Genomic DNA, 12,269 nt, shown 5'->3' with positions numbered 1-12,269 from the left:
AGGCGGAGTCCTTTGAGCCCCATGTCAACTCTGTCATTACAGAAGAGTCCAAGGATCTGGCCGGCCGCCTGCAACGTTCATCGCAGCGTATAGGAGAGTTAGAGTGGTCTCTCTGTGCTGTCGCCGCCACACAGAAGAAGAAGCCGGATGGGGTGAGTCCAGTCACCTGCCCTGTCCCCTGGGAGCCCGGCTTCACAGATGGAGGAGTGAGCCTAAAGGTCCCTTCTGCAGGATGGAGTGTCCTGCCCAGAAGGCAGCATGGCCATTTCTCACTGCTTTTGTGTATGGTTGTTAGAGGCAGCCTGAGGCTGAGTCAGCTGCTGTGGGTGAGTCGGGGGGCGCGGTGGGGAGCGAGCACTGGATGCAGAGCTTGGAGGCCAAGTGCCTGCCCTGCCCTTACCTGGCTGTGGTCTTGGCCAAGTCCTAGGTGGGGTGTGGGGTATTGGGTACTTGTACTGTGAAGGTACAGAAGGGTACCTTTAGTATGTTCCCATTTCTGTAGAGAGAGGAAACGTGTGTGTGTGTGTGTGTGTGTGTACATAGTATGATAATATACATAAAACATGTCTGCAAGTGTTCGTAAACAACTCAGGAGAGAGCAGCAGGGTGGCTGGGAGATACTTCCCTTTGATACCTTCCGAGTTTTGGACTATGTGAATGTATCATCTTTTCAAAAAGTGAACAAAAGATTAATTTTCCCCTTCCTAACCGTGCCCCCACCCCCAGCAGAAAAATGGGCTTAGAGAATCTGATAGACCTGGGTGTTCAAATCCTAGCTCTGCCTAAGTGATCTTAGGCAAGCACTTAACCTCAAACACTCCATGTTTTTTCATCTACCCAAGAGAGGGCATCATAGTAACTGTCTCCTCTGGTGGTTGCGAGGATTAAATGGGATTGCTAGCAAGGTACCTGCTGAAGCACTCCACAAAGGTTCAAACAGTGGGAGTAATAACAATAGCAATATTATCTGATCTCTCTCCTTGTCCCTTCCAACTTCACTGAGTTTTTTTCAAAACCAGACCACGGGCTTGGAAATGCCTTGATCTTTACTGACCGAGTTGTATATTGAGCCTAGCCCTAGCCCTTTTAAGGGGCACTGTGTGGAATGGCCCAGGCTCCCCAGATCGAAACTTCTCACTCTTCACCATCCAGTTCTCGAGCCGCAGTAAAGCACTTCTCAAGCGGCAGTTAGAGCAGTCCATACGGGAGCAGATACTGCTGAAAGGACACGTGACACAGGTGAGGTTTTGCAGAGGGAGGGATGTGGAAGGAAGATGACCCCAGGTGGCCAGGAGCAGGTGAGGACCAGTGACGGCCCTTCCTAACTTGTGTGGCCATTCTTGCAGTTGAAGGAGTCGCTTAAAGAAGTCCAGCTGGAGAGAGATCAATATGCTGAACAAATAAAAGGAGAGAGGGCCCAGTGGCAGCAGAGGATGAGGAAAATGTCGCAGGAGGTGAGATCTGACCCTTCAGCCTCCCGCCCCACCCCCCCCCCACCAACAACTTAAGATAGGTCACTGGATCTTTCTGGGCCTCTTTAAAATGGGAATAGTGCAGCCAGAGGTGGTCCTGGGTCTGGGCTTTGTGGAGGTGGGGGCAGAGAGGGAGATGGGAGCCTGTCCAGCCACCAGCCCCTCTCTCCAGGGCCCTTTCCCCCTGTGCTTTGGGCAGGTTTGCACATTGAAGGAGGAGAAGAAGCATGATACGCATCGGGTAGAGGAGCTGGAGAGGAGCTTGTCCAGACTCAAAAACCAGATGGGTAAGATGGGGCTGGCATGACCTGGGAGCAGGACTGGCATCAGAGGGCTGTGGGGGTGGCTTAGAGTGCCCCAGGGAGGTGGGTGGATGGCAGGGCTTTGAGGCAGAGGGAAAGAGGTCTGTGCCAGGAGACAAGTCTTGTCATCTCCCTGAGCCTCAGTGTCCCCATGAGCAAAGAGGGCCCGTTGTCAGCCACCCGCAGTGCTCTCTATCTGAAAGTGGTTTGGAAGACTGGCTACCATCCGGGTGCGAGGGATCGTTAGCAGTGAAGCCAAGTTTGGGAGCCTGAGAGGAGCTGTGCGCCAACAGGAGGGTGTTTTGTTGTTTTTTCTGTTTTGATTTTTGTTTTGAGAATCCAGAGGCCCTTATGATCTGCTTCCTTTCTCAGCTGAGCCACTGCCCCCGGATGCCCCAGCAGTGTCCTCTGAGGTGGAGCTGCAAGACCTGAGGAAGGAGCTGGAGAGAGTGGCAGGAGAGCTCCAGGCTCAGGTGGAAAACAATCAGTGCATCAGTCTCCTGAACCGTGGGCAAAAGGAGAGGCTTCGCGAGCAGGAGGAGAGGCTTCAGGAGCAGCAGGAGAGGCTTCGGGAACGGGAGAAGAGGCTTCAGCAGCTGGCCGAGCCACAGAGCGACTTGGAGGAGCTGGTGGGTTGCCCCACCTGGGGAGCCTGCCCTCCTCCCTAGCCCTCCAGGCCTTTGTTTCCCCACCTGTAAAATGGGGCAGTGTAGCCCTCACATGAAATATTACTTCCAAAGGCACCTGTGAGCCAGAGCTTTGCTCTGGTGGCTGTGGGAGAGAGGAGAGTATTTTTCTAACTTGGCTCCACCCTTCCCGGTGCCATGGGAGGCAGACACCAAGTTCTGGGGTCTCCAGCTGCAGTGGGTGGCTGCTGATTGCTTCTCTCTGTCCAGAAGCACGAGAACAAGAGCGCACTGCAGTTGGAGCAGCAAGTAAAGGAGCTGCAGGAGAAGCTGGGCCAGGTGATGGAGACGCTCACCTCGGCCGAGAAGGAGCCAGAGGCAGCAGTCCCAGCCTCAGGGACTGGGGGCGAGTCTGTGAGTGGGGAGACCCTCCGGGCCCTGCAGGAAGTCATGGAGAAGCTGGAGGGGAGTGAGTCCTAGCATGGGCCAAGAAGGGCAGGGCTGGGGCAGGTCGCTGCTGAGATGTGACCCCATTATTTTGGCTCCAGAGCGGCCTTATGGACCTCCTGGAGGAGAAGGCGGACCTGAGGGAGCATGTGGAGAAACTGGAACTTGGATTCATCCAGTACCGGAGAGAGAGATGCCATCAGTGAGTGGGAGGCCAGGGCACGGCAGGGGGAGCTGCAGGGCTATGGGAGGGGCCCCAGCGTCTGAGCCCTGTCCTCCCGCAGGAAAGTACATCGCCTTCTAACAGAGCCAGGGGACAGTGCCAAAGATGCGTCACCGGGAGGAGGCCATCATCAGGCTGGCCCAGGACAAGGAGGAGAGGAAGGTAGGGTGTGCAACATCCCTGTGGGGGTGGGGGTGGGGTGGGGGTGTGGGTGGGGTGGGCATGAGGGTGGGCGCCAGCAGCGGCCTGACAGCTGAGCACCCGTCCCTTCAGGTGAAGCTGCTGGAGCTGCAGGAGATGGTGTTGCGGCTTGTGGCAGCTACAGCGAGGGGCACGGCAAATTCCTGGCCGCTGCCCGGAACCCTGCTGCTGAACCCAGTCCAGGAGCCCCAGCCCCCCAGGAGCTCGGGGCTGCCGACAAGCATGGTGGTGAGTAGAGCCCCCAGGCGGGGTGAGCAGGCAGGAGCGGGGGGCGGCTAGCACTCCACTCAGATCCCCGCCTCCCTCTCTCCAAAGATCTTTGTGAGGCGAGCCTCACCAACAGCGTGGAGCCTGCACAAGGAGAAGCCAGGGAGGGTTCTTCCCAGGACAACCCTACTGCACAGCCAGTCGTGCAGCTCCTTGGTGAGATGCAGGACCACCAGGAGCACCCAGGCTTGGGCAGCAACTGCTGTGTGCCATGCTTTTGCTGGGCTTGGCTGCCGAGAAGAAGGAGATAAACACCACCATCATCAAAGAGCTGCTCAAGAAATTTTTAAAAACGAAACAAAGTTATGGGGTTAATCTCCTACACAATTCATTTACTTCATTTGAATGTTAGAGCTACTCATGATTATTTGTGTTTCTAATTTATAGTTTAAGTTTATTTGTAAAAAGTTAAAAGAGAGTGGGTCTCTGTGGCTCTCACTGATGTTCACTCTGGCATCCTTCAGCATTTTTCTTTTTTCATTTCATAATTGTAGGTCATTAGCATGCATATCGAGTTTGCCCTTACGTGGTGGGAGTTCAAACACACAAAGACCCACTCTTTGCACAAAACTGTTCTCGCTGGTTTGGAATAGGCTCCCGTGCTTTTCTAATGTTATTGCAGCATGGATGTCCATTACAGAATTCAGATAAAATTTGCTAATGTTCTGCTATGATGTTTGATCTCATCTTAATCACAGTGAGCTCTTCTATAGCTCAATATGCGGTTTGCCCTCAAGTGTGCACTGTTTATTACTTTGTAATATGCCACTGTGAGTACTGACATTTAGAGCTGTTTAAAGGCCGAGAACTGGAAACAGCCTTTCCTCCATTTTCTGTGTATTGGTGATGGGAGTGATAACCTTTTGGGGGAGCTTTCTAAATCTCACAGAAGAGGAAAGTGGCCTGCTCTGGCAGGTATGTGCAGGATACAGTGTGTTTCATCTGTTCCGGTGCCAAGAATGAGCAGTGTACTGTGGCAGTTCCCTTTGGATTTGTATGTGCTCTGGGCTCATGAAGATATTGCATCGTGAGCTGCAGCAGTTGCACTCTTTTTCAGTGACCTAAAAAGGGCTTATTTCCGAGGAATGAAAGGCTGCCATCATTGGCTGTGGGTGTGAAAAACCTTTCCTAGCTTAGAGCATTTGTATCTACAATACATTTTAAAGTCAGAGTTCGTGTTCCCTGTTTTAATCACATGACTACCTGTCCCAGTACACGAAAGGGCGCTGGTTGGCATTCTTCTTAATGTATTTAGTGAAGATCATAAGAAATCCTTTAAGAGTTTAAATGTCTCTGAAACAGGCATACAGGCTCTAGTCAAGAATGAATTAGAGTGAAGGAAAGCTGTGTGACACCTGGCATTCCTCTCTGTTCATGGAGCTTCTTTGAGGCTTGAAGTTTGATTTTACTATCTAGACCTCTCTGGCTAATACCTATTCTTCAACCACCTCGGTTACTCTGACATAGGAATTTACTTCTTTTCCTTGAGTGGAAAACACTTTAGAAAGTAATAACAAACATTATTATAAACTAATATATGTGAGAGTACTTAGTTGAAACAAAAAGGAATTTTAGTAGACAGTATTATATTATCTTTGAAAATCAAGGAGAAGTTTATGCAACTTAAAATGTTTACACACTGTGGTGCAATCTACTGTTTGTGAATGTCTGTATTATCAGGAAACATGTCTATACGATCGCAGAGTTGTATTTCCTCACAAACTTCTTTACGAAGAGTGAAATACGTTTTTGTACCTCTCATTTTCAGTCAGGGACATACTTTGTGCAATATTTCTGTGATTGTGCCTATGCATGATGAATGAATGCATTTCAATCATACATTGCCTAAATCATAACTTGATGATGCTTGGGAAAGAATCAACAGTTAAAACTTCATGAAGTTCTAATGTCTGTGTTCCAAAACACATCACATTATTAGGTTGTAGGGAGATATGTAGGTGTGCTCCCTGGGGTGGGGAGTTTTCTAGTTACTAGACCATCTCCATTTTTAGCACTTGGCAGCCTCATGATCCTTTTATAAATGTGAGATTAACAGGAGAGCAGCAATACGATTTTGCCAATGGAATAACAGATTTGCCGGCATTCACTGAAAGAGGGCAGATATTGGGTCCTTGTAACTTCAACTGACTCTTCCAAATTGTATGAATTTATCAATGTATTACACAAATCCAGTTTCAGAATGATAAAAAATGTTAGACCAAATAATGCGGCTAATTAACAGTCGTATGATTTCTAGCCCATGGGTTTAAAACTGTATCTTAAAGAGTCATTTTAAAATAATATAAATATTAAAAAATGTAACTGCTATCTTAATGTTCTGAAATAAAACATTTTAAAATATAAATCCTGTAGTTTAAAAGGAAGAAATGGTGGGAAGGAAAAGTAGAGAAAGAAATGCCAATTCCAGGCCAAAGCGTTATTTGCCAAGTTTTCTTAGAATGAATTTTACCAATGTATGAGTTCTTGTTAACAGAATGTGTAACGGAAATACTGAAAGACTTTTGCTTAAAGTGGCATTATTGACTGCTGATGTGATGCTACTGTAATGCAATAAATTTTTAAATTGTTGCAAAGTGCTGTTTTTGCCTTAAAATTTTATTTTGCGTGTCTTGAAAACTATAGTATTAAAAGTATTGATATTGTGCAAATACTGGGCATGCTTGGCATGAGATAATCTGTTTCATTGTTACAAAAATGTAGTATAACTATGCAAGTGTTTATTGAAAGAACACAACATAAAAAAGGTATGGGATTAAAAAAGTTTTGGGGTGAAAAAGTTATCGGATAAAAATGTAAAAAAGTTGTGGCAAAAAGTAGAAAAAAGTTTTCTGAAAAGTTATCATGGAGCACGGTGGCTCAAGCCTGTAATCCCAGCACTTTGGGAGGCCGAGGTGGGCAGATCACCTGAGGTCAGGAGTTCGAGACCAGCCTGGCCAACAGAGTGAAACTCCGTCTCTACTAAAAATACAAAAATTAGCTGGGTGTGGTGGTGGGTGCCTGTAATTCCAGCTACTCAGGAGGCCGAGGCAGGAGAATTGCTTGAACCTGGGAGGTGGAGGTTGCAATGAGTCAAGAGTGCCACTGCACTCCAGCCTGGGTGACAAAAGCAAAAACTCCGTCTCAAAAAAGAAAAAAAAAAGTAAAGGAGTAAAGAATGGCTACTCCAAAGACAAAGCAGCGGCATCAGCTGCTCAACTGATTATACTTAGTTACTTCTTGATTATATGCTAAAAAGAAAAGTGGGGTACAATGATCTTCCAACCAGGAGTTTCAACATGTGGTCTCTGGGCAAGATGAAACAGCAGACAGTTGGCTCTGAGTAACAGAAAAGATAGAAAAGAGAAAGGAGAAAAGGGGAGAAAAGCATTGTCTGTGGCAGGGTACATAGCTCCGGGAGGCCAGAGAAAGACCCACCCATTGCAGCGACGCTGAATCAAAAGTTCAGGCACCTGCTTTTCAGTAATGAAGGGAGCTCTTCCAACAGTCCCATCAGCTCTCATCTTTCCCACTTTAGGGAGAAAAATGCTCCCACATCTGGTGATCCTGTACATGCCTAATCCTGTCACCCACAGCCATCAGCAAACAGTGCAAGGCAGATTAATCCAAAGAGAATAGCAGATAACATCCCATAATTCCAAATCCATTTTTAACCAAGAGGGACTTTACTGAGAGGGACCTCTAACCTGTAACCCCCTGAATCTTAGGAAGGGCTCTAACCTTCCTAAGTTGGGCCTCTAACCCAAGTTTGGTCAAGTGTCCTTGCCTTTTATTAAGGAGGCCTTTAACTCTGTCTTAGTAGGGACTCTAACCCTCCTAAGTTGGGCCTCTAACCCAATTCCATCCTTTACCCACGTTAAATGTACCCCTCCTCTTACTCAAAGTCGGCCAATTGGTATTGCTGTTTTCTTTGGGTCAGAGGTTTCCTCAATATTGTCCCTTCGTGGTTCAACCAGAAGACATTACCAGAAAGGGATCCTGATCCAGACCCCAAGAGAGGGCTTTTGGATCTCACCCAAGCAAGAATTCAGGGTGAGTCCATAGACTAAAGTGAAAGCAAGTTTATTAAGAAAGTAAAGGAATGAAGAATGGCTACTCCATAGACAGAGCAGCAGCATGGGCTGCTCAACTGATTATACTTATAGTTACTTCTTGATTATATGTTAAACAAGGGGTGGATTATAAGTTTTCTGGGGAAGAGGTGGGCAATTTGTGGAAATGAGGGTTCCTCCCGTTTTTAGACCATATAGGATAACTTCCTGACATTGCCATGGCATCTGTAAACTGTCATGTGCTGGTGAGTGTCTCTTTTAGCATGCTAATCCATTGTAATTAGTGTATAATGAGCAGTGAGGACAACCAGAGGTCACTTTTGTTGCCACCTTGGTTTTGGTGGGTTTTGTCCATCTTCTTTACCATACCCTTTTGTCAACAAGGTCTTTGTGACGTGTACCTTATGCTGACCTTCTATCTCATCCTGTGACCAAGAATACCTATCCACCTGGGAATGCAGCCCAGTAGTTGTTAGCCTTATTTTACCCAGCCCCTATTCAAGATGGAGTCACTCTGGTTCAAACTCCTCTGATAATACAATGAAGTAACAACCAGGGAAGGAGTGGCAAGAAGCAAGGACATTGCAGGACACACAAAAGATGAGGAAAACAAATGATAAAAGAATAGAGGTTATTGATGAAAAGGTCAAACTCTATAAAATATTTGAAGAGATTTATTCTGAGCCAGATATGAGTGACCAATGGCCCATGAGACAGCCGCAGTAGATCTAGAGAACATGTGCCCAGGATAGTTGGGCTACAGCTGGGTTTTATACATTTCAGGGAAACATAAGACATCACTCAATACATGTAAGATGTACATTGGTTCGGTCAGGAAAGGTGGGACAACTAGAGGGGGCGAGGGGTGGTTCCTTCCAGGTCATAGGTGGATTCAAAGATTTTCTAACTGACAATTGGTTGAAAGAAGTTTTTTGGAGTGTGTGTTTTTTAAGCTATCTTCTACCAAAAAGAGAAAGAGTTTATTATCTAAAGACCTGGAATCAGTACAAAGGAAGGTCTGGGTTAAGATAAGGGGTTGTGGAGATCAAGGCTTTATCATGCATATGAAACCTTCAGGTAGCAGGCCTCAGAGCTCTTATTGTCTCTCGTGTCCATATGAAGAGACCACCAAACAGGCTTTGTGTGAGCAACAAGGCTGTTTATTTCACCTGGGTGTAGGCGGGCTGAGTCCAAAAAAGTAGTCAGCAAAGGGTGGTGGATTATCATTAGTTCTTACAGGTTTTGGGATAGGCGGTGGAGTTAGGAGCAATGTTTTGCGGGCAGGGGTGGATCTCACAAAGTACATTCTTAAGGGTGGGGAGAATTACAAAGAACCTTCTCAAGGGTGGGGGAGACTACAAAGTACATTGATCAGTTAGGGTGGGGCAGAAACAAATCACAATGATGGAATGTCATCAGTTAAGGCTATTTTCACTTCTTTCGTGGATCTTCAGTTGCTTCAGGCCATCTGGATGTATACGTGCAGGTCACTGGGGATATGATGGCTTAGCTTGGGCTCACAGGCCTGACATTTATCAGACCCAAAAAGGTGTCAGACTCAGTTAATTCCTTCCTGGATCAGGAAAGAATCAAGGATTCTCTATAGAATATACATTTTCCCAATGAGAGAAAGCTTTGCAGGACCATTTCAAAATATATCAAAGAAGGCTGGGCATGGTAGCTCTTGTCTGTAATCCCAGCATTTTGGGAGGCCAAGGTGGGTGGATCACTTGAGGCCAGGAGTTCAAGACCAGCCTCGCAAACAGGGCAAAACCTCATCTCTACTAAAAATACAAAAATTAGTTGGGCATGGTGATACACGCCTGTAATCCCAGCTACTTGGGAAACTAAAGTACTAGAATTGCTTGAACTCAGGAGGCAGAGGTGGCAATGAGCCAAGATCACATCACTGCACTCCAGCCTGGGTAACAGACTCTGTATCAAAAAATATACACACACACACACACACACACACACACACATTATATAATATATAATATATATATATATATATATATATATATATCTCTGAAAGAAATATATTTTGGGGCTGGGCACGGTGGCTTATGCCTGTAATCCCAGTACTTTGGGAGGCCAAAGTGGGCAGATCATGAGGTCAGGAGATCAAGGCCATCCTGGCCAACATGGTGAAACCCCATCTCTACTAAAAATACAAAAATTAGCTGGGCGTGGTGGTGTGTGCTTGTAATCCCAGCTACTTGGTCGGCTGAGGCAGGAAAATAGCTTGAACCATGGAGTCAGAGGTTGCAGTGAGCTGAGATCGCACCACTGCACTCCGAACTGGCAACAGAGTGAGACTTCATCTCAAAAAAATAACAAAATATATATAATAATAATATATATGTAAGAAATCAAAGTGTTTTACATATATGTATATATATATATATTCGATTTATTTTAGTCAGGCTGGAATTTGGTGTCTTATTGCTACAGGAAGTCTGTTTTATTCTTAAGATCTCTATTTTAATGTTAATGCTGGTCACCCATGCCTGCATTCCAAAGACAGGAGAGTGTAAATAAGTCATGCCCCATCTCCTGCATCTCATCATGGTCTGAACTAGTTTTTCAGGTTAATTTTGGAATGCCCTTGGCTGAGAGGATAGGTCTATTCAGTTGATTGGGAAGCCTAGAATATTATTTTTGGTTTACAAAATCCCACACCAGGCACACTGCCTAAGAATTTTTCATCAGCTTCATAGAGATAAAGAATTGAAAATTAGTATCAAAACTTTCTCTGTATATCGTTGAGGGTTAGGTGTATGTGATTGTGTTTAATTTAATTATAGTATTAAATTATTACTCCATAGGTTTGAGTCCTAAGTTTAATAACTCTTTCTGATATGGTTAATTTATGTTAAAATATTAGACCAAGACTGTATCTGCCCCAAGCACAGACCCTCACGCTCGACACTCCTCCACCAGTCCAAACTTGGTGCCAGCTCCCCATGAATGATGATATCTTCACACTTGCAGTGACAATGCCCCCCAGGGTATCTTGCCTTCCATCACGGGGTGCCCACGGAACCAGTACATGACAGCAGGCATGGCTCAGAAGGACTCTTATGTGGGTGACAAGGCCCAGAGCAAGAAAGGCATCCTGATCCTGAAATACCACATCCAGCACAGCATCATCACCAACTAGGACGACATGGAGATCTGGAACCACACCTTCTACAACAAGCTGCACATGGCTCCTGAGGAACATCCCATGCTGCTGACTGAGGCTCTTCTGAACCCCAAGGCCAACTGCGAGAAGATGACCCAGATCATGTTTGAGACCTTCAACACCCCTGCCATATATGTGCCATCCATGCTGTGCTGTTGCTGTATGCCTCTGGTTGTACCACTGGCATTGCGATGGACTCCAGTGATGGGGTCACCCACACTACCAAACTACAAGGGGTACACCCTCCCCAGTGCCATCCTATGTCTGGACCTGGCTGGCTGGGACCTGACTGACTACTTCACGAAGATCCTCACCGAGCGTGGCTACAGCTTCACCACCACGGCCCAGCAGGAAATCATGCGTGACATCAAGAAGAAGCTGCGCTACATTGCCCTGGACTTCAAGTAGGAGATGGCCACCATGTCCTCCAGCTTCTCCCTGGAGAAGAGCTACAAGCTGCTCCAGAGCCAGGTCATCGACATCTGCAACAAGTAGTTCCACTGCCCTGGCCTCTCCTCCAGCCTTCCTTCCTGGGCATGGAACCCGTGACATCCATGAAACTACCTTCAACTCCATCATGAAGTGTGACGTGGACATCCATAAAGGCCTGTACGCCAATGCAGTGCTGTCCAGCGGCACCACCATGTACCCTGGCATCGCCCAACAGGATGCAAAAGGAGATCACTGCCCTGGCTCCCAGCATGATGAAGATCAAGATTATTGCTCCTGCTGAGTGCAAATACTCCATGTGTATCATTGGCTCCATCCTGGCCTCGCTGTCCACCTTCCAGCAGATGTGGATCAGCAGGCAGGAATACGAGTCCCACTTCTCTCGCCCCCATCTTCTACTGCAAATGCTTCTAAGCAGACTGTTACTTAGTTGTGTTATACCCTTTCTTAACAAAAACCTAACTTGCATAGAAAACAAGATGAGATTGGCATGGCTTTATTTGTTTTTTGGGGAGTGTTTGTTTGTTTGATTGGTTTCGGGTTCTGTTTTGGTTTGGGGTTTCTTTTTTTTTTGGTTTTTTTTTTTTTGGCTTGATGATTCAGGATTTACAAACTGGAACAGTGAAAGTGACAACAGTCTGTTGGAATGAGCATCCCCCAAAGTTCTACAATGTGGCCAAGAACTTGGATTGTACATAGTTATTTTTAATTTTTATTTTATTTATTTATTTTGAGACAGGGCCTCACTCTGAGGGTCTCACTCTGTCACCAAGGCTGTAGTGCAGTGGCCCAATCACAGCTCGCTGCAACCTCAACCTCCAGGGCTCAGGTGATCCTCCCACCTCAGCTTCCCAAATAACTGGGACTACAGTGCACACCACCGTGCCTTGCTAATTTTTCTATCTTTTGTAGAAAAGGGGTCTCACTATGTTGCCCAGGCTGGTCTGAAACTCCTGGGCTCAGGTGATGTGTCTGCCTCAGCCTTACAAAATGCTAGGATTACAGGCATGAGCCACGACGCCAG

General features: G+C 46.6%; 1 protein-coding gene, 1 non-coding gene and 1 pseudogene across 15 annotated transcripts in view; all 3 read left to right on the top strand.

Annotated features, from left to right (window-relative positions):
- Window positions 1–6,132, top strand: part of GOLGA8A (golgin A8 family member A) — a 58,741-nt gene extending 52,609 nt beyond the window's left edge. For 10 of the 14 annotated variants that reach the window (NR_027409.2, NM_001386893.1, NM_001386895.1 and 7 more), the window contains 10 exons: window positions 43–152; window positions 1,153–1,239; window positions 1,347–1,454; window positions 1,672–1,759; window positions 2,147–2,403; window positions 2,671–2,814; window positions 2,949–3,049; window positions 3,132–3,232; window positions 3,344–3,499; window positions 3,587–6,132. Coding sequence is in view for 12 of the 14 variants with exons in the window: in NM_001386893.1 (NP_001373822.1) it covers window positions 43–152; window positions 1,153–1,239; window positions 1,347–1,454; window positions 1,672–1,759; window positions 2,147–2,403; window positions 2,671–2,814; window positions 2,949–3,049; window positions 3,132–3,232; window positions 3,344–3,499; window positions 3,587–3,789 (1,355 nt within the window). In the remaining 2 variants the exon portion in view is untranslated. Of the gene's footprint in view, window positions 1–42; window positions 153–1,152; window positions 1,240–1,346; window positions 1,455–1,671; window positions 1,760–2,146; window positions 2,404–2,670; window positions 2,870–2,948; window positions 3,050–3,131; window positions 3,233–3,343; window positions 3,500–3,586 lie in introns of those variants that run through there. The other 4 variants (NR_164784.1, NM_001368072.2, NM_001368071.2 and 1 more) reach the window with 2 other exon arrangements.
- On the top strand, window positions 3,050–3,131 carry MIR1233-1 (microRNA 1233-1). The gene has a single exon (NR_036050.1). It is a non-coding gene; the product is annotated as a microRNA 1233-1 (primary transcript).
- On the top strand, window positions 10,623–11,666 carry ACTG1P15 (actin gamma 1 pseudogene 15; annotated as a pseudogene).

The sequence above is a fragment of the Homo sapiens genome, chromosome 15, assembly GCF_000001405.40.
Source record: "Homo sapiens chromosome 15, GRCh38.p14 Primary Assembly".
In the NCBI taxonomy this organism is placed as follows: Eukaryota; Metazoa; Chordata; class Mammalia; order Primates; family Hominidae; genus Homo; species Homo sapiens.
This window is presented reverse-complemented; position numbering and strand designations above follow the sequence as displayed.